We start from the raw sequence: 20785 nt of genomic DNA on the forward strand, positions 1-20785 counted from the left end.
TGTGTCTTAGGCAGCCTCGGTAACTTGCACAGTGACGGTGAACTAGTAACATGAGAAACAGGCTTGAACTCATGCCTGGTGGACGATGTAGCCCACAGTTGTGCCTGACATCACACAGCTGGGAGATCATGGAAGACTGCAGGGAGGAGGAGGCATCAGAGAGGAGTGGTGAATGCGTGTGGCCATCCTCAGAGTGCAGGTATCAGCCGTGGCTCAGAGGTAGTGACACCCTCATATCCATCTCCCTCTGGGTGCTAACTAGACAGGTGCCCTGAGCTCTCACCACCCTCTTTTGCTCTTTCCCAAGCCTTGTGTCATCCCAACTCAGCCTTCCTCACTGTGGCTTTTCTTTCTTTCCTTCCTTCCTTCCTTCCTTCCTTCCTTCCTTCCTTCCTTCCTTCCTTCCATCCTTCTCTCCCTCCCTCCCTCCCTTCCCCTGAAGCACAGTGCTCCCTGGGGTCTGCCCCAAGCATGCCTTTCTCTCTCCTCCATGGATGAAAGCATTTGCTCCTCTGGGTCTTCCTGCTGCCTATATGCGGATGAATTCAAGTCTGTATTTTTAGCTCTGGTCTTATTCATGAGCTCCAGGGTTTGGGTGGATGTAAAATATAGACTCAAGTCCCCCACTTTGGATGCAAGTCTTGATTATTCCACTCAGTAGCAATGTGACATTGGATTGGTTACATATTCCCTCTCTGCCTCAATTTCCTCACTTGTGAAATGGAGGTACCACATTAATACTTGCCTCATAGGGCTGGGTGGTGGAAGAATGAGTTCACCAGGATGGAGAGCATGGTGCTGTGGCTGGCTGCCAGTTCTCACCCATGGCTGCACCTGTTTTGGACAGTTTCATCCTGCCCTTCTAGAATGCCAGTGCTTCAAGGGAAGGGCTAGGACCTTGCTGGTATACAGTTGGTGCTCAATTTATAGGTTGTTGAATTAACTCCCATGGACATAACTGAAACCAAGGTTCTTAGCACTGGACTCTCTACTCCTATGCTATTTTCTTTTCAGTTTTATTTATTTATTTATTTATTTATTTATTTATTTATTTATTATTTTTTTGACACAGTCTAGCTCTGTCGCCCAGGCTAGAGTACGGTGGCACAATCTCAACATGCTGCAGCCTCCACCTCCCGGGTTCAAGCGAGTCTCATGCCTCAGTCTCCTGAGTAGCTGGGATTAAAGGCACATGCCACCACATGTATTTAATTTTTTTTTTTTTTGAGACAGAGTCTCGCTCTTGTTGCCCAGGCTGGAGTGCAATGGCACAATCTTGGCTCATTGCAACCTCCACCTCCTGGGTTCAAGCGATTCTCCTGCCTCAGCCTCCCAAGTAGCTGAGGTTACAGGTGCCCACCACCACATCCGGCAAATTTTTGTATTTTAGTAGAGACAGGGTTTCACCATGTTAGTCAGGCTGGTCTCGAACTGCTGACCTCAGGTGATCTGCCCGCCTCGGCCTCCCAAAGTTCTGGGATTACAGGCGTGAGCCACCGTGCCTGGGCTAATTTGTTTTATTTTTAGTAAAGACAGGGTTTCACTATGTTGGCCAGGCTGGTGTCGAACTCCTGACCTCAGGTGATCCGCCCGTCTCGGCCTCCCAAAGTGCTGGGATTACAGGCATGAGCCATCATGCCCGGCTGCAGTTTTGTTTTAAAAATTGTCAGAAAATACATAACATAAAAGTGACCATTTTACCCATTTTAAAGTGTACAGTTCAGTGGCATTAAGTGGATTTGCTTTGTTGTCGTCCTGTGTTAGTTTTTAACCAGTAACTTCCAATCTTGTGTCTCCCTGTATCAGATTTCTTCTTGCCCCAAATGAGTACGTTTAGGGTTGCCTGACTAAACCTTCCTCAACCCCACACGGTGCAATGCCTGGCGGAGATCCTCCAGGGTTCTGCAACTATAGCTGCTGTTCAGTGCAGTGATGATTGTCTCATATAGAGGGGCTTTGTTTATCGTAAATAATGTGCATCAATTTGGGTTCCCAGTTGAAAACAACAAAAATGGACTCTGGTTGATTTAACGAAAAAGAAACTAAGGAAATGAAATTGGAAAACCCATAAGATCAACAGCAAGGCCAGGAAAGCAGTGGAGGCTACAGTCCAGGCTCACCAGGCAGTCAAGTCTGGGGTTGGCCTGTTGCCAAGGCGTGCCCCCACTCTGAGATGCTACAGGCTGCAGGCACTGCTGCTGCCAGCCACCTGCCCCATAGCTGCTGAACTCTCGGTGCTTCCTCTGCCCACGTCCCTCCACCTCCCAGAGTGTGGTGGGGGAGGGGCAGCTTTTGACTAGCTGAGCCTGTCACATTCCCACACCTTAGCAGAGTTGGTGGGGGGGTTAGAATTATCTGACTATCACCATGTGGAGCGTCTTCCAAATCTAAAAAGAAGTTCAAATTTTGGGCCGCCAAAAACCTGACATACAGCCGTCCAGTCCTGTTTCCTCTGAGCTTTTTCTCCTTTGGACAGACGCCCTGTGTTCCTTCAACTGAAACTCATGGATGAGGCCTCCGGATCCCTTACCACATCGTCATTAATTTTTGGTACCCAGAATTGGAAGTAATCTCACAAGTCTGAGGTACAATGGGATTATTTTTTTCCAAACCCTGACCACCCCCCACCTTAACTTTCATGAAGGCATCCGAAGATTTCGTTACTTCTCTAGTCAGCCATAGTACATAGATGACTCATGTTGGCTCATACAATGCTTGTGGTCAACTGAAATCCCCAGATCTTTTTAGGAATGGCTGTAAAGCCAGGTCTTCTCAATTATTTACTTATATAATTGGCTTATTGAACATGTGCAAATTTAACCGAGTAACATAAGACTGTATTTGTAATACTTCAACTATTTAGTTCACACCCTCAAATTCCCTCACGCTGTAGCACAGTGTACTTGGCTACTTCAACCAGAAATTGTAAACTGGCGGTCTGTAGGCCAATTTGACCACACATTTATTTTGTTTGGCTAATATGGTGGTTTTTGAGAACTAAATCGGTTGCCAACTGTTGAACATCAGGAGATGTCATGTAAAAAGCAGCACTTCCAACTTCTCTTGAAAGGTATGAAGGTCTAGCAACATTTGGTCGTCATTCCCCCAGGGCTGGAGCTGGGCAGCAGCTACTTCCTCTGAAGGGTGCAGACAAAGCTCACTGCAGTCCCCACCAGGCCCTGTTGCCTGGGGTTCACCCTGCTTCGTTAATTTCATGCCCTGCCCAGTCACTGTGGACATCTGGGTGCATAGTCTGTGTGTCCTGTGGGTGCTGGTTATGGCAGGGGCAAAAGGGGTAAAGTGGAGAGAGAAGAAAGCTGGGAAAGGTGGGCTTAAGTGGCTCTCTCTTGCTCTTGTCTGTCTTGGGTCGTGCAAGATAAAGATGTACTGAGGGCAGAGATGTGGCGGTGAGCTTCTGGCACGGGCATCTGTGGTTCTGACTGCCCAGCACGGCAATTCTTCTGGAAATTCTCACTTCTCCTGTGTGACTACAGAGAGTGCTGCCAGGTTCCAGATGATCCTGCTCCTGTGGCCAAGGCACACGGGTCCAAAGAGTGACCACTGGTCCATACTAGTGATAGAGTTTTAGAACTTCCAGGAGTGGCTGATGTTGTTGGAAGAAAGGCTCATGAAGATTTGACCGCATTTTCTGTCATGTGGGTTGGGAAGCAGAGGCAGCTGGTGCAAGAAAGTGAAGGGTTGAGTCATCAACTAGAGACAGGGACAGCAACACACACTGCAGGCTCTATCTGTGCTAATCTGGCTCAGCTCTTAGCCTGGGATCCTATGAGATGCCTCGTATTATTAGTGTATATTCTGCTCCCTTTAAAATTTACCTAGAGTTGGTTTCTGTTGCTTGCAACCAAAAGCACCAGGGCATGTCGTCACAGGCCGTCCTTGCTCTCTGTGAGCCCTTCCAGTGCCTGATGGGTCCCCTCTTTATGCTCCCCCTTGTCTACCATCTGCTCTTGGATCAAGCATCCTGGGTGCTCTAAAAAATTCCCCTTGTTCCTGAGCAAGGGTAAGAGTGAAAGGTGGCTCATGTGAACATGTTTCCATGCACTGCGAGGTGTGTGCCCTTCCTTCGGCCCTCAAGGGAAGCCAGGCAGCTCTGGGATGCTTTCCATCTCACCCTGTTGTTGGCGCTGATGTAAATCATACAGATGGAAATCCACATTGCTGAGAGACATCCAGGTTAAGAAAGCCACCTGCTGCTATCAGAAGCAAAGTTTCCAGGGACTAGCATCCTGATATAAGCACAGGATATGTGTAATTGAGATACTAAGATCTGCCTTCAAATCACCAGTAGGTGATGAGAGAGAGAGAGAGAGAGAGGGAGAGAGAGAAAGAGAGACGTATCCTTTCATTAATTCTACAAATATTTATTGAACACCTACTATATGCTAGTCACTGCCCTAGGCACTAAGGATATTACAGTAGAAAAGATCTGTAGCTTACAGAGAGCTTACATTCTAATGGCATGTAAACTTTATGTGTTAGTTCTGTGGATACAAAAATGAAAATTCAGCCCCAATGGCTTTACAAGTATGAATATCACTTTCCTCATTTGTAAAATGAGTTTAAAATAATTATCACAGGTTGGGCACCGTGGCTGGCGCCTGTACTCCCAGCACTTTGTGAAGATGAGGTTGGAGGATCTCTTGAGCCCAGGAGTTTGAGACTAGCCTGGGCAACATAAGGAGACCCTGTCGCTACAAAAAATTTAAATTAAAAATTTAGCCAGGCGTGGTGGCGCACCTGTAGTTTCAACTATTCAGGAGGCTGAGGTGAAAGGATGGCTTGAGCCCAAGAGTTTGAGGCTGCAGTGAGCCGTGATAGCACCCCGCGCTCTAGCCTGCCTGACAGAACGAGATCCTGTCTAAAGCTATGGAAGTAAATATAAATAAATAAAATAATTATCTGGCAGAGCTGTTTAGAGGATTAAATAATATATAGCACGCTCTTGGCCTTTTAGCCTCAACAAATACTACTTTTTTCCTTAATAATAACAGAAAGATCATACAACTTCACAAACCACAAGGACAGGCTGGCCGATAGGCAGGCCCCCCACGACTCTTCTGATGTTAGCCCTGACTGAACTCGCTGTGCAGCGTCCAACCAATCCTGGTTTGTGCTGGGCCCTGGACTGGAACCCAGCCCTTCCCGACGGGAACGCAAAGCGGCCACGAGGGGGCAGCGCACGGCAGGGAATCTTCGCCGCCGACCCCAGCCCACCGCCAAACTTCCCTGCTGCTCTCGGTCCTCCTGTACGTACTTCCGTTGCTCTGACGCTCCCAGAAGCCGGGGCGTCGGGAAGGAGAGCGCGAATTCACCCTCCTCTGCGCCTCCGTAGGAAAAAATTGGAGCGGGGGTTCACGAGACTGCGCCGCGGCGGGCGCTAGAGCCCCTCGCACAGCGTCGCCAAGGGTGCGGCGTGGAGCCGGGCGCCTGGCGCCAGGGTGCTGGTCGGCGGGCAGCGGCGCCAGCCTCCGACCCGCGACTCCGGCGAGCCAAGGCTGCGCCGGGAGGAGTCGGCGCGGGCCCCGGGGTGCCCCCTTCAACTGGAGCGCCTTCCCCTCCTGCCTTGCGGCGCATCCCCACACCTACACCGGAACGAAGCTCCGGGGCTGTCACTTCTGCGCGCTTCTCGGAAAGGAGTCTGAACTGGGAGCGCTCCGGGGGGTCGTCGGGGAGGATGCCCGGGCGTCGGCTGTGTCCCCAAGCTGCTCGCCGGCGCTGGCGAGGAAGGCAGTCGGGATAACGCCGCCCAAACTTTCCTTCGCAGCAGCGTTGGCAGGAAACGTCCCTCTCTGAGGCTCACGAAAAGCCGAAAAAGACTCGGACGCTTGGAGGAGGCAGGGCCAAGCCTGCGCAGGAGAGGTTCCCCGGAGCCCTGGAGATGTCCTAGGGGACCAGGCTAATCGCCGGCTTGCGCCCAAGCGAAGGGAAGTCCTGCAGGCACGGCGCCTCCTTCCCTGAGCCCCGCAGTGACCGTGACCTCCGCGCGCACCCCCGCGCACGTGCTCGCGGCCGAGGAAGAGGAACGGTCCTGCTGAATCCTCTGGAGGACAGCGACTAGCGAGCAGGCCAGGGGCGCATGGAGGTGCCGCGGGGGCGGTGCGGCTCGCCAGCTGCGCGGAGGAGCGTGCACGCCGCGCCCCGGCCTCCCCGGGGACCTGGCCGGCCGCTGCCCGCACTTCCTGCCGCTGGTCTCCCAGGCGCGAGCCGCCGCTTGCAGCACAGAACCCGTTGAGCTTCGTGCCCGGCAGCACCCCCGGTCCCCCGCGCGGGGCGGACTTGCGGCGGGACAGGTGTAGCCCGCAGCCGCAGGCGCTGCGCTCAGGACTGGGCGGGCTCGGCTGGCCGGTCCCCGCCACGCAGGCCGGTCCCCGCCACGCAGGCCGGTCGGTGAGCCACTTCGCACCGCCACAGCCCTAGCATCGGGCCACCAGCCGGGGTGAAGAAAGTCACGGCGGAGCCCGGCTCCCCAGTCCTGATGCTGGCTGCCGGTGGCGGGCTCCACGCCGGCCCCGGGACCTAGGCAGCCGCGCGAGACCGCTGCGGGCGCCTCCCCCATGCTGCTCGGAGCGTCCTGGCTGTGCGCATCCAAGGCGGCCGCCGCTGCTGCGCAGAGCGAGGGCGACGAGGACAGGCCAGGCGAGCGACGGCGGCGTCGGGCGGCGGCCACCGCCGCGGGGGCGGGCGAGGACATGGACGAGTCGTCGCTGCTGGACCTGCTGGAGTGCTCCGTGTGTCTGGAGCGCCTGGACACCACGGCCAAGGTGCTGCCATGCCAACACACTTTCTGCCGCCGCTGCCTGGAGAGCATCGTGTGCTCGCGCCACGAGCTGCGCTGCCCCGAGTGCCGCATCCTGGTGGGCTGCGGCGTGGACGAACTGCCCGCCAACATCTTGCTGGTGCGACTGCTGGACGGCATCCGTCAGCGGCCCCGCGCGGGCACCAGCCCCGGCGGCAGCCCGCCCGCGCGTCCCATCCCAGGCCAGAGTGCGGCCCCCACGCTCGCGGGCGGCGGGGGCGGCGCGGCAGGCAGCACCCCGGGTTCCCCGGTTTTCCTCTCCGCGGCCGCGGGCAGCACCGCCGGCAGTCTGCGGGAGCTGGCGACCAGCAGGACCGCGCCGGCGGCAAAGGTGAGTATCTGTCTCGGCGGAAGTGGCCACGGCACGTGGGAGTGTGTGGGTGGGTGCTTGGGCGTGGGGGGCAGTGATGAGGTGCGGAGGAGACCACGGGTGGTCCTGCGTTGGCCCACTCCGCTGTTGCTCTTCCTCCAACTTCGCTTGCTTGGTGGCGGCATCCGGCCCCTGGGCAGCTCGCCGCTTGTTCACGTGTGTCCCATCCTCCTGTGGAGTGGGCACGCCTTCCTGTCCCGTCGCTCACCCCCGATTCCTTGGCCGGACTTGTTACCCTGCCTCTTAAACTTAGCATCGCCCTTGCGTCTCCCTAGAAACGGGGACCTTCTTCCTCTGGGTCCCCAGACACTCCCTCTGCACACCCTGGGCCTGCCTAGAGAAAAGTTAGCCCTTAACGTTTCTGACAGGGCTCTGATGGCTGCTCTGGGAAGCCCGCGGGCCTCCTGCCTGCGGTGTGGCTAAGGAGGGGAGGGCAGAAGGCAGAGTGGGACTGGGGTTTGGAGGAATGCTTCTAGTAGTCTGGAAGGAGTTAATCTGGAGGCCCCAGGAGCCTTTTGACCCAGCCCTTTTGGACTTGGCAGTGTCTAACCAGAAGCCAAGGTCTTCTCCTGGGCTCCCAGGCAGGGTTGCATTCCCACGGGGGTCATTTATATTTATTATTATTATTTTTGGTACAGCCGCATTTTAGGGCCTTCGCTGCTTCTGTTTTAGACGAAAGATCTTCTCTGGATGGCTTCAATGATTTGGTTTTAAAAGCTTCTTACAGCTTCTTATTACACACCCTTGCCACCTTGTGAACAGTTACCAGGAGAGAGGGCATGGGATGCTGGTTTAAATGAGAAAAGAAAGGACCCGGGTTTTGTTAATTTCTTTAAATGGAGAAAAGCACTTAAATGTTAAAAAAAATACATTATCTATTGGAATAATCATTTGCTTTAGAAACACAACTTTATTCCTCTACTTTTGACCATTTAAGGAGTTGGTGATGCCTAGTCCTTCCACTATGTGTAATCCTGAAATGCTGGGAACATTCTAGCACCTGGATTAGGCAGTACTGCAAATCTCTAAGGTTAAGGTTAGGAACTTAAACCCTTGGATGTTGAGCTTGAGTTAAATGCCATACTTTGCTGCAATGGGTTTTTTTTTCTATGGATCAGGAAGAATGGGGACAGTCAAGGATAGTCACTGGGGGTCACTTGGGGGGCACTGCTGAAGGGGAATTTTTTTCTTTGGTTTTAATTGTGATTAAATCCAGCTAAATGCTTGCGTTAGAAATTTTCAAACTTTTCCTTCCTGGCCTTGCTGTTTTTGATGTAAGGTATTTATAATTAAATATCTTTATTTGCAGAATAAGTGGGTTACCTTCTTCTGTTCTGATAAATTATGTGATATTCGGAGCCCCGCTTCTAGTAAAACGCTGGGACATTCTGATGACCATCTGTTTACAGATGTCCTCTCAGTTTATCTTGGGGGACTTTGTGTTTGACCAGGAGGTTAGGAGGTAACCTCTGACATGTGACAGGCTGAAGCTTTGATGCCACTCCGGGAATTCTGTGGCATTTGTAGTACCTTTTAGAACTTGTCAAAGGGGTTGAAGCTTGGAACTTTTTAGTAGTGACATTTAGTATTAGCAGGAAATTGATGTTTTACTCACCATATGTTGAGACCCTTGGTTGACTTTCTTTATGGGTGCATAGTCATGTTCATGACTTTTTGTGTTTTTGGGATGTTTCTGGATGTTGTTTAATAGACGAGCACTTATTTAACTAATAAGCAGGAGTCCCGCATGGTGTATTCACACTACACTAGCACTATACTACCATGCTGGGATAATAGCATTAGGTCCAGCACATGCTTCGGGAGTGGGAAGGATTGTAATAGCATATCAGGCATTGAGCAACCCTATACAGTTGGTTGACAAAGATTTCGGCTGAAAATTACTTTTGGTACTTTACTGTCCATTGGAATTGCTTGACTCCTGCCAGGAAAGTTGAATGCTGGATGTTGTTGCATGTTGTTTAATAGAGGGGCACTTATTTAACTAATATGCCATGATAGCAGGTAACCATAAATATTACAGTCCCATCATTTTCCAATTAGAAGCTCCTTACATCTTCTTTTGGGCCAATTAGGGTATGTATACTTTTTAGGTATATAGGTAAGTATTGGCATAGCTTGTTTACTTTATTAATTTTGTTACGGTTCAATATTTTGACAGCTTTATTTAAAAAAAAGTTTTAATTTCTGTTTGGTTTTACTGGCAGGACACAAAACAGTGTTTTCCTGAACTCTTTACCTGTTGTTTTTCATCGGTTTTGGTGATCACCAGAGTACTTGGAGTCCCCTGACGTGGTTAGCAGAACCTCTCAGCTCTGCTCTCACCTGAGCCATTTGAGATAAAGCGCTTTTGTGGAGTCAGTTAACGATGCTGCCCCTGGAAATAATATACCCAGTGACGAGTACCCATAGCCTAAGATCAGGAGTTGGTCTTTTTATTTGCCTGTTGGCAAATACTATATGTGTGTTGCTTCTTAAAGTGTGTTCATATGTGTTACTTCTTGAAGTGACCTTTAAACAGTCCTGTTTTAATGGTACTGTCTAACCCTTGCAGTTGCTAATGTATGCTAAATTTCTCAGGCTAACTTGTTTGTTTATTGTTTTGTTTTCACTATTTTGCAAGAAAATCCCTTTAACATCCCAAGCTAGCATCAATCAAATTGTTTCAGTGCAGTGGGAGTCTTGCTAAAAGAGTTTTGTGGTTCCACATTGAGTAATTCAAAACATGCTTTTTAATGTAAGTGATTTAATAAGGACTTGAATATCAGACAATTCCAATTTTGTTTTGAAAATTTTTTAAATCCTTGACTTATATTTGAGCCTATACAGAACATCTTCTGCAGTTCATGTAGACTCGGCTAGGCACTATTATAGGTAAACAAGACTGGCTTGGGCTTTCTGGATGGAGCTGACAGTAGAGGTAGTGAGTGGTTGCAAGCTGTCTGCCCAGCTCTCAGAAGGTACCCGTGGGCACTGACCGGTGTCACTCCAGAATTCTGTGAGGGTTACAAGGAAGGACATTGTCACAAATTAAAGAATTCTAGAAAGCTTAGGCAGTGCCTTTGATGATATAAAAGTCGGCATTACAGCCTAATAAGTTTATCTGTATTTTGTATCTTGAGGTACAGTGGTATATGTTCACATTGGATCCGTTTGAAAATCTCTTCTGTGTCTCTTTGACAATGTGACTGGGACTTAATAGAGAAAATAATTTAAGTTGGAGAATCATAAAATTATATTTGTTAAATATTTTATTTTATAAGCATACACGTGTATGATTCTTCCACCATTTTTTGAGTACAGAGCTGAGGACCTTTCTTTGAGTTCCAGATTGTCTTTTTAGCTGAACACAGTCACCTTTTATGATTTTCTATTTGTTTCTTTCAAATAGAGTGAAGACTAAGATTTTCAAAGGATTCTGAATAGAGCGTCATTTAGATTTTAAATAGGACCTCTCCACTAATGTTTGATGTTCTCATTTACACCTGATTTGACCATTTTGTTAGTGTTTGAGTCTTTCATACATGGTCATCTTGATTTCCCAAGGGACAATTTTTTTTTTTTTTTTTTTGCACTCAAACTTCTTTCCCTGTTACAGACTATTGAATTATGGTGCATATTTAGCATTATGAGTACAACTTGCATTAGCATAGTTGGGAATAAGGACAACAGATCCCTGATAAGCACAGGCTTCCCCAGGCAGGAGTGGCTGGCCCAGCCTTGCCAGGCTGTAGTCTCTGGTGGGTGTGGGTGACTTTGGCTGTGTTACAGAGGACGTGGAATGTTGGTTAGTCCAGCTGGTCAGCTAGTGGAGGCCAGGATAGAGGGTGTCTATGGTATCTGGAAGCTAGTTACCATGTTCTTTGGGTCTCGACAGTTGAACTGCTTATATACCCGAGATTTTCTGTTGAACATTTACTGAGTGCCTGCTGCATGCTGGGCACTTTGACATATATCACCTTATGGAAAGTTCACAATAATCCTGCCAAGTGGCTGGTATAATTATTATTTTGAGGCCCAGAGAGATTGATATTTGGGCAAGTCAGAGAGCTAGGAAGTGATTGAGTTAGGATTCTGTTCCTCCGCCCTTCTGTCCAGTTTGGCTGGATGGTTGGGATGTTGTCGTGGTTCGGTCTTGGATATAATAAGGACTCCAGAGGAAAAGGCTGGCACTTGGGGGCCTCACCAAAAACCAGACAGCTCACAAGAGACCAAACGAGTGGTTGATATGACAGCTGAGTTACAGCAAAGTCCTGTTCAGAAGGCCCCTGAGTGTGGAAACAGCAGTTTGCAGCCAGCGAGTGAATAATCTAAATTATTATTTATTGAGCACCCAGTGGGACCAGGTGTGAATGAAGCCTCTGCTGAGGGCTAAGGGTTGAGCGGTGTTTTAAGTGTGGCTCATCTGGTCCTTACTGCAACTTGGTGAGGTTGCTAGTTACACAGGTACGGAAATTAAGGCTCCAGAATTTCCTTGCTGAGCGGCACACAGTTAATGAGGGTGTTTTTTGGAAGATTAACTTTGGCCTTGGTTAGAAGAGTCCTCTTACTCTACCACAGGCTCAGCTCGTTGGTAGCACGATTCTAAACATAAGCAGTGGCCACCCCTTCCATTCACCGTGCCTCACGGCTGCAGATGCTCTTCTATGCAAGGCTGCTGTCTTGTAAACCCACAGAGTGCACAGAGCAGTGTGGCCCACAGGAAACAGCATCAAATCTGTTGTGGCTTTGGATGCAGGTGACAGGCAGCTCTATTAATATGTAAGTGACATGAACAGGACATTAGTCTGAGTGGCCTAGCTGGCTAACCCAGCAGCTCTGTGCTCTCCTCACTGATCCATACTTGGTCTGCCCTTCTGCTCTGCTCCTCTGTTGGCTTCATTCTCATCCCTACCCAGTAGGTCTCAAATAGAGGCCGTGGCTTCAGGTGTCACAGTCCCATGACAACACCCAGTAGTGGAGACAGCAGGGTTTCTTCCCCTTGTACTTAGTCTCCAAGTCGGTGAGCAAACGGTGACCCAGCCCCAACCCCATGTTTCTTGTTACACCCCTGGGGACAGTGTTGCCTCCCAGGCTGGTGTCTGAAGCCCACACACAGGACTGCCTTTTCTCCTGAGGCGGTGGCCTGCCACCTCCCCCAGGACACGTGGAAGGAGGGGAAGGGGTGGTGGGAATCCCACTGAAGGTGGTTTTAATCTTGGCTTCCACACTTCCTCACCATCTGCCCCGGGGCAAATGGGCTAGCTTTCCTGAGACTTGTTATCAGTGAATTAGGGATGCTATCTGCTTCTTAGATAAATAGGATAACGTATGTGCAGTGCCTGGCACACGTGATTGGCTGTCGTTTCAGTGCCTGTTCCTAATACGAAAATCTTCAAGTCTCTTATCACGCGTGAGGCACACCTCAGAGTGCCTGCTTTGCTGCTGGTGGATTTGTGGTATTTAGTATTCTAAGTTAAGGGTGTGTGCGTGTACGTGTGTGGATGTGGATGTGCATGGGGGGGTGTGTGTGTGTTGTGAGTCTGATATCATGCTTTGCCTCTAGATTCAGTCAGTCCATGTTGTGGAAACTGGATCGTCAAGCATTACTGGGCATCTATGCGGAGTAGTTGCTTGAGTCTGTTGGTTTCCTTTTTAAATTTGCTCCAAGTTTATCTTTATTATCAGAGGCAGTGTTCATGATTCTTACAAACTTCATTAAAAGGGAAAAAACGTCTAAGCCATAATCTGCTTTAAAAAAACAGCAGGGGAGAATAATCCTGCTCAGTTGCTGATCCAGCCTGTTGGCAGGCTATCCTGAAAACGAGCCCACCTCCGTCATCCGTAGGACACAATAGCTTGTCTACAGCTGCCTAGAATCAGGCTGCTTGCTGTGATGGAGCTGAGCAGAATTCTATCCAATTGTTTCTTCCTCCTGGCTTTTGAGAGCCTGCCTGCTTGCTGGAGCATGACAGATTCGGGGCTCAGTTTTGCAATTGTTTCTAGTGTGCATTTCCGTTTGATCTGTATTTAATCTCTATCTTTTACAGTTAACATGATCTTTTTTGAGGTGCATTAAAAAAAAACACACACATCAGCAAGCATTTGCTGGGGGAAATGCTCTTGATAGCACCACTTGAAGAGGCCAAGGTCAATTTTTATCAGATTTGCCTTGCTTGGGAGATCTTCAGATTTGATGAATGTGAAATGCATGCTTGATGGGTATCCTATTGGAATTTTAATTAACTTTAAAAGAACAGGGTGTCGAGCTGAAGGTATTGGCAACAGTGAATGGTTTACAGATCATGCAGGCACCCCATAATGTGAGCCTCCCTTTTCCCATTGAGTGAAGTTGGAATGAAAAAGTGTATAAAGTTGCAGCATGATTTGTATTCTGCTTTCTTTAGGCTCTCCTGGCCCTTGATGGCTCTGCACATCCTTGGAGGCCATTTAGAGCTGCAGCTCTCCTTTGGGAGACCTGAAGGAGGCCCAAGAAGAGTCACTGCGCTCTTGGGTAGCACGTGTTTACATTGTTAACTGATGCAAACGAAGATATGATGGTATTTGCATTTCCACTTAATGTAATGTGTGCATAAGGCTCACATGAATTTATGTGAGTTTAAATGAATTAGGATTGACCACAGGAATTCGGATCAGGAGGAGGTGTGAGAGAATTTAGAAGCATGCTTGCACCGGGGCACCTGTAAATGTGCTGCAGCCGGGCTCTCTGAGAGCAAGACCTCACCAGAGAATCAGGGAGTTCGCAGGGAGCCATCTTTACCCTGGTTCAAGGAATGGGATGCTGATGCTTTTCTCTCTCTGGCTTCACTGCACAGATATTTAAGTACCTGCTGTGTACCATACACTACAGTGGACACTGGGGGCTCCAGGGACAGCGATTGCATTGGTCTCTATTTATAATGAAATGTAATTTTTTTTCCATTTAGTTAGGTGACCAGATATGCTGCAGAGGAAAACATGTGTCTATATCTTTTTATTCTCTGTTTATCTGGCAGGAATTTCTAATGAGGAAAGTGGTATTGGTGTGATTTGGGGCTTAGTGAGTTTGCAGTGGGTTCTCACCTCTTTTTGTTTATTCTTCCATAGTCTAGATTTGCCAAATGAAGGCTTTGCACTTCTTCTTTCTGAATCTTTCTGACTTTGTGGTGGGGAAAGAAGATGATGAGGCAGGTCCATCCCACAGCTGGAGGCTTTCTGAGAGCAGCTTGGTGTTGCGGGCAGCACCTTTCAGAGAAGCTGTCTGCTGTTTGCTAGTTCTGGAGCAGATGCTCTGGAAGTGCCACATGCTCAGGAGATAAGAGAACTTGCTGCTGTGGCTAGGACGATGGAGGTCAGGAGTGTCCAGCACGTTTTCTGAAGATTCTTTTAATTTTTTGTTGGCCATCAAAGCACACCACCTTAGGTGAGAATTATTTGGATTTATCATTTAGGATCTAAGATACATTCATGGGTGACTGCATTCCATTTGTTGCTCTAGGATGAACCCAGAGATACTGGAGAGAAAGAGGAAAGATGAGGGAGGCTTAGGCACATTTCAGTAAATGGTTGCAGGTTAACTAATCTCATTAGACACCACCCGTCCTGATCAGCCGTTGTTTTTGCGTTCAAAGACTAATCGGTTAATCCTCCAAGCTTTGCCTGCCACTGTTGCTGTTTGATTTGAAGGGTCAAGGAATCCTTCAGATGATTACTAAACACTTGGAGTGCTCACCCATGTGGGTTGAGGAAAGTACTCCTGAGGCTGGGCCAGCTAAATCTCAGGCCAGGCCGACTTCTGGAGGTGTTGCCTGTGTGGAGTGCCTTTACCCATAAATGCAATGGCAGACACATACATTTATTTCGCAGATCAAAATTTCTTTTTTTTTGAGACAGTCTTGCTCTGTTACCCTAGCTGGAGTGCAGTGGCACGATCTCGACTCACTGCTACCTCCGCCTCCAGGGTTCAAGCTATTCTTCTGCCTCAGCCTCCCAAGTGGCTGGGACTATAGGCGAGCACCACCACGCCCGGCTAACGCCCGGCTAATTTTTTAATATTTTTAGTAGAGAGGGGGTTTCACCGTATTGGCCAGGCTGGCCTCGAACTCCTGACCTCGTGATCCGCCCGCCTTGGCCTCCCAAAGTGCTGGGATTACAGGTGTCAGCCACTTCGCCTGGCCTCTCAGATAGAAATTTCTAAAAAATCTGTAGGGAGAAAGTAGTGGGGTTTCAGTTTTGCATGTGGGAAAAACAAAAGGCTTGGGAGTTTAGCTGTAAAAGAAAGGACAGTTGCTGTTGTTGCTGGGACTTCAAGGCTGTTGTAAAAATTAGCTTGGTGCTGCATTTGCTGGCAAAGTGGCAAGCAAATTTTGAGTAATATTCTGGACTTCATGTATTGTATTGAACTGGATCTTTTAGAGAGGGGTCAGGGCAGCCCCTGGGCAGCCCGCTGCTGCTGGTTCATTCTAGTCTTCCTGTTCATCTGCAGTGAGGAAGTGGGTCACTCTTCCTCTGGGTCTGCACACCCTGCCTGCAGACTGCAGCTGTAGGGAACACACAGAATGAATGGTGGCCCAGGTGCTGGGGCTGTGGAGCTGTCACCATGGCCCTGTGTGAGTGCTGCTCTTGAAGACTGGCCCAGAACGAGTGATGTTAATAATTAATTCAGTCCACACATATGTACTGACTGCCCACCCTGTTGCAAATACTGTGTTAAGCACTGGAATATACATTGTTCACAAAACCAGAAGTGATCCAGGCCTTTCTGCAACTGACCATTCAGAGGACACTGTAAACAAATAGCCAATAGGTATCTCTTGACATGTGGTAATAAGAGACATGAAGACAAGGGGCCACAGCCTGATGATGGCAGGGGACGTGGAGTCATGGGTGATGTCTGTGGATTTAATTATGCAGCTTATTTTATTTATCAAAATGTATCCACATCTTTACTCTTTTATGGATAAGCCACTGGATTCCTTAACTCTTTATAATCATATCCCAAATCTGCGTAACTTAAAAATTGCATCCTATTTTCTCTTCCCAAGCACAGCCAAAGGTAATTAAAACCAGATGTGTTTGCATGAGAAAATGCGTGCAGAGCATCAAGAATGTAGATTGTGCTAAATTAATGTCGCCTTAACAAAGATAGCCAATGAGACTGACCTTTTTTTTTTTACTGAGTTCATGATGCCCATGGGTTAATTTTGTCACTAGCAGTCATTGTCTGGACCAAGTTTGTAGTCTAAACATGTGCAGTATGAAAGGTGAATGCTCTCACACAGTCACACTCCTAATAGGAAGACAACTCTCTTGTATCCTGAGCGGCATCCCCCTTGTGCCTTCTGTGGCTGAATTTGTGTTGTGGACTATAGCAGAGGGAAAACTTCCAATGCTAGAAATCTGAGTTTTAAAAATTAATTTAAAAATGTGTTCCTTATGGAATTGGGAGTGTATCTGCTGTCTCGGTTTGACAAACTAAGCTTTGACTTGTGTACAGTAACAAGAGTTTTCCTGGATTTAAAGTTGTTGTCCCCAGCATATCAAATGAGGTGACGTATATCAGATCCTGTGGTTGAGCCTCACAGTGCAGAAGGGCACCTGCTATGGGTCAGCAGCCCATTGAACAATGGAGTTTAAGACTTGCAGTTTTTGAGCTTTTCAATCACCTCTTTGCCAAAGACCAATGTGTCCATTGCTTGGCAGTTTGACATCTGGAGTCGTGTGGACAGGGGTCTACATCCAAAAGGCAGCGCCACTGGGGCTTAGTTTGTTCAGGTTTGTGTTCCTAGGCAGATGGAGGCTGTTTGTCTCAAATATAGCTGCTTTAAAAAAACAGGAGGGTTTATTGATCAGAGGTAGTGACTCATGACGTTGAAACTGTGCCTACATAACTCACATGACAAGGCTGGGGTGAAGAGGACAGGTCTGCGGAAGGCTTTCCACTTAGTCCTGGGAGGCCCCTTTTCCCTCTGTCCACCGTCCCCTCCTGCACCATCACTGTCACTTCTTTTCTGAAGGCTGCATTGATGCACATGGTTGGTGCATATGGGTCGATTGATGCACGTGGTTGCATGTGGTTGACGCACGTGTTTGGAGTTCTCTCTCTTCCTGAGATCAGCTGCATCCAGCCATGGACCTTCTCTTTTGCCGGTTCTTTGTGAATCATAAATCTACTTATAATGCCTTTACATACTGATGTTCTTTTTCTATTTTTCCCAGACTTCAGAAATTTCTTGCCTTTTTTTTTTTAGAGACGGAGTCTTGCTCTGTCCCCTAGGCTGGAGTGCAGTGGTGCGATCTTGGCTCACTGCAGGCTCTGCCTCCCAGGTTCACACCATTCTCCTGTCTCAGCCTCCCGAGTAGCTGGGACTACAGGCGCCCACCACCATGCCTGGCTAATTTTTTTGTATTTTTAGTAGAGACGGGGTTTCACCATGTTAACCAGGATGGTCTTGATCTCCTGACCTCATGATCCACCTGCCTCAGCCTCCCAAAGTGCTGGGATTACAGGCGTGAGCCACCATGCCCGGCCAATTTCATGCTTTTTAGATTTATGGGAAATAGAATTTTTTCCCTTCTGCAAAAGGCCTATGTGCTCTACACGTGGTTAATAGCCAGTCTATGCAATATGATTGATGTTAAAGGTAACATCTCCTCTGTGTCCCCAAACTAATCAGTGCCCCATCTTAGACTATCAACACCTACACAGTCTGGCCCCAGGGGTATCAGTTTTCCACTTGGTACTATCACTGCTGTAAACAACTTCATGGGCTGAGAAGCCCTTACTTTCATAACCCCCACCTTCCATCCGGGGCTGCTGTGAACTGGACAACCCTAAAGCATCCTGACAACCAGACTCCTGTTGGGCAGGCGGTATCTGGCTGGTGTGAGCCATTTACATCAGTTGTATTGAAGGGATCAATGCTATGCTGGGACCCATCCTTGGTGCTCATTTTAGTCGACTTCATCCAGGTGGAAAGATGCAACCACACCCCCCGGAGCCCAGGTTTCTGCGGATTCCTCTCTTTTGTCTCCCTTCTGTGCAGTTTCTGGCTCCATTTTTATTTGTTCAGGCTGTTTCAGTGACCCTTCCTCACTCTTCCCCTCTGTGGGCCGTGCGCATTCCTGGCAACCAGTGCTCTGTCGGCTTTTGCAGTTGCCACTGGCTGGCTTTCTGGAGGCAGCCTCTCGTCTCTGCCTGGGTCCCTCTTCCTCCAACTTGCTCAGTGATGAGTGGGGCTCAGAGCCTCACTCACAGGCTGCCCTCCGCACCGCGCCAAGCTCATGGGAGGGGCTCGAGACCTCTGCAGCACCTAGGCACATGCCTGCCTTTCCCAGTGACCAGGCCCAGCCCAGAGCTGAGCCCACAGCTGCAGAGATCACCAGTCCCCAGGCTGACCAATTCTTTACAGGTGTAGGCTGAAGCTCCAACCCACTGCACTTTTCTCTATCGTGAAATCGGATGTGAATTTAGGGTGCAGATCCCAGGAAGAGTGATGACGCCTGGGGATAACAGTGTGTCTTGACAGAAGAGTTAGGACCCAAAGCCAGCATCTCCCAGGAGAAAGCAAAATAGTCATTTTCTAGACCCCGGGGAACAAGTCTCCTGACAGTATCAACAGGAGGGGGTACTGGTTGGAGAAGGAGGTCAGGGTGACGGTTGTGTCCAGCTCAGCAAAGCCAGGTCCTCGCCTCCTTTCACCCATGGGACCCCCCAGATGTGCCAGTCTGCTGTCGGCTGCCTGCTTCTCCTACCTCCTGCAAGCTCTGCAGGTGGCAGGGCCCTTTCTACACTCACGGAAGTCTCAAACAAACTTCTGTGACACCTCCTCTGGTGTGTGGCCATCATTTCCAGCCCCCTGCCCAAGTCCTCTTCTGGGGTCCTTGAGTCTCCTGGGGGGGGGGTCTCAGGTATGTGCCTAGAACTTCTGCTGCAGCCCCTGGCCTGTCCCCTGGGCCCCACCCTGAGTCACCTACCGGGTGGGGTCCCTGAGCTCCTGGAGAGCAGCAAGGGAATGCTTCCCATGGTCCAGCCCCCTGGGCGGACTCTTGCGCCTTTGTGACTGGGTGAGCTGTGCATTTCCAGTTCTTTGCCAGCTGCCCCACCTCCCCACCCACATCCCTTCCATTGGTGTTCTCAGGAATAGGTGTTTACAGTCTTATTTTTTCTTAAAAATTCCCATGCATGTTATATTCTACTCTAAAATGTGCCTCCTCTGATTTTAATAGGACCCCAAAGCACCCTGTGGGGTTAGCTCCACAAACTTGGAATCAAATATGTGTCCCGTGACTTCTTCCCATTCCCTGGCCCCCAGCACCCACACAGGCACCCAGCTTGCAGGCACAGCGGCCGAGAGTGAGGGAGGGGCTGCCTCCTGGGCTCCCCAGGGACAACGGGGCACTCTGCTCTCCCCAGTGGCTGAGGGAGGAGGATTCTAGTCCTGTCACCAGAAGCCTCTCTGGGTTCTCTGGGGGCAGAACGCCTCTGCTTGGCTGCATCTTGGAGCCCTCCATCCTGGAGTCACCTGTGAGGTCAACTGAGCGGAGCATGGGCTGTCGGGCCTGGGTTTATTTTCTGATCGTTGGTGTCCTCTGGCTTCACCTGCCAAAGCATCGAGGATTGTTGTTGACTGATGGAAGTGCTATAGGCTTGTCGGTAAATGTGGGGAAAGGTGGCTGTCATTGTGGGACGTTTTCACTCTCTAAACTTAAGTGGGAAATTTCTGTCAGGTTGAGGAATTGTCAAGGATGTCGGCTTTCAAGGTGACAATTGTCGTGCTGACAGATACAGCACATGGGTGGTAGTGGAGTGCCGGGGGCTTGGGGCTGGTGTCCTGGCTGCTGGAGTGTGATTTGGCACTAGAGATGAGGAAAGGGAAAGTGCCACTGGGATGCTGGTATTCCTGGTGGTGTCCCTGAGCCCGGGAACCCAGTGTGGGGGGCCTGCCATGATGGCCACAAGGTAACCTCAGGAGGAACCTGGGAAACGTTTTATATTAAAGTTTTCATTTAATGGTCCATTCTGTTTGTCAAGTGGTGCATATAGAAAAATTGTGGCAGTTGCATGGAATTTCATTTGGAAACAAATTTAAATAAAAAGTGAGTCAATTTAAAGGAACTCATTAAGTAAGTATCGTGAAACTGAGGCTTGGAGGACCATAGTTTGGATAAAAAATGCCTTAAGTTGAAGTGAAATCAGAACCTCAAAGCGAGATGTGCAATCTCATGTTCATTTCAGCATTATTCACAGGGCCAATATCTGAAAGCAACCCAGATGTCCATCACCAGATGAATGATAAAGAAAGTGCAGTGGGCTGGGTGCAGTGGCTCATGCCTGTAATCTCAGAACTTTAGGAGGTCAAGACAGGAAGATCGCTTCAGCCCAGGAGCTTGAGACCAGCCTGGGCAACATAGCAAGTCCCCATCTCTACAAAAAATAAAAAAAGAAAAAAAGAATCAGCTGGGCATGGTGGTGCATGCCTGTAGTCCTAGATACATAAGAGGCTGAGGTAGGAGGATTTCTTAAGCCCAGGAGGTTGAGGCTGCAGTGAGCCGTGATCGCACCACTGCACTCCAGCCTGGGCAACAGAGTGACACCCTGT

General features: G+C 49.2%; 2 protein-coding genes, 1 long non-coding RNA gene and 1 other non-coding gene across 5 annotated transcripts in view, besides 5 other annotated features; 2 read left to right on the forward strand and 2 right to left on the reverse strand.

The window, feature by feature from the left end:
* RANBP2 (RAN binding protein 2) overlaps positions 1-20785 on the forward strand; it is a 1122820-nt gene that overhangs the window by 403484 nt on the left and 698551 nt on the right. The window lies entirely within an intron of this gene.
* On the reverse strand, positions 4362-7154 carry SH3RF3-AS1 (SH3RF3 antisense RNA 1). Its single transcript, NR_029193.1, has one exon. It is a non-coding gene; the product is annotated as an SH3RF3 antisense RNA 1 (long non-coding RNA).
* Positions 5456-5515: a silencer, noted in NCBI's record as "silent region_11854". NCBI's record gives its function as "represses an Ori minimal core promoter by ATAC-STARR-seq in GM12878 lymphoblastoid cells {active_cell/tissue: GM12878}" and the evidence as "EXISTENCE:reporter gene assay evidence [ECO:0000049][PMID:35858748]".
* Positions 5896-5965: a silencer, noted in NCBI's record as "silent region_11855". NCBI's record gives its function as "represses an Ori minimal core promoter by ATAC-STARR-seq in GM12878 lymphoblastoid cells {active_cell/tissue: GM12878}" and the evidence as "EXISTENCE:reporter gene assay evidence [ECO:0000049][PMID:35858748]".
* Positions 5976-6025: a silencer, noted in NCBI's record as "silent region_11856". NCBI's record gives its function as "represses an Ori minimal core promoter by ATAC-STARR-seq in GM12878 lymphoblastoid cells {active_cell/tissue: GM12878}" and the evidence as "EXISTENCE:reporter gene assay evidence [ECO:0000049][PMID:35858748]".
* Positions 6056-6255: a silencer, noted in NCBI's record as "silent region_11857". NCBI's record gives its function as "represses an Ori minimal core promoter by ATAC-STARR-seq in GM12878 lymphoblastoid cells {active_cell/tissue: GM12878}" and the evidence as "EXISTENCE:reporter gene assay evidence [ECO:0000049][PMID:35858748]".
* The window catches only part of SH3RF3 (SH3 domain containing ring finger 3), a 375430-nt gene continuing 360884 nt past the window's right edge, over positions 6240-20785 (forward strand). For both annotated transcript variants that reach the window (NM_001099289.3, XM_011511109.3), the window contains exon 1: positions 6240-7148. In NM_001099289.3, the coding sequence (NP_001092759.1) occupies positions 6576-7148 (573 nt within the window). In that variant the 5' untranslated portion in view covers positions 6240-6575. The remainder of the gene's footprint in view (positions 7149-20785) is intronic.
* Positions 11735-11804: an enhancer, noted in NCBI's record as "active region_16353". NCBI's record gives its function as "activates an Ori minimal core promoter by ATAC-STARR-seq in GM12878 lymphoblastoid cells {active_cell/tissue: GM12878}" and the evidence as "EXISTENCE:reporter gene assay evidence [ECO:0000049][PMID:35858748]".
* MIR4265 (microRNA 4265) lies at positions 18525-18623 on the reverse strand. The gene has a single exon (NR_036223.1). It is a non-coding gene; the product is annotated as a microRNA 4265 (primary transcript).

This window comes from Homo sapiens, chromosome 2 (assembly GCF_000001405.40).
Source record: "Homo sapiens chromosome 2, GRCh38.p14 Primary Assembly".
In the NCBI taxonomy this organism is placed as follows: domain Eukaryota; kingdom Metazoa; phylum Chordata; class Mammalia; order Primates; family Hominidae; genus Homo; species Homo sapiens.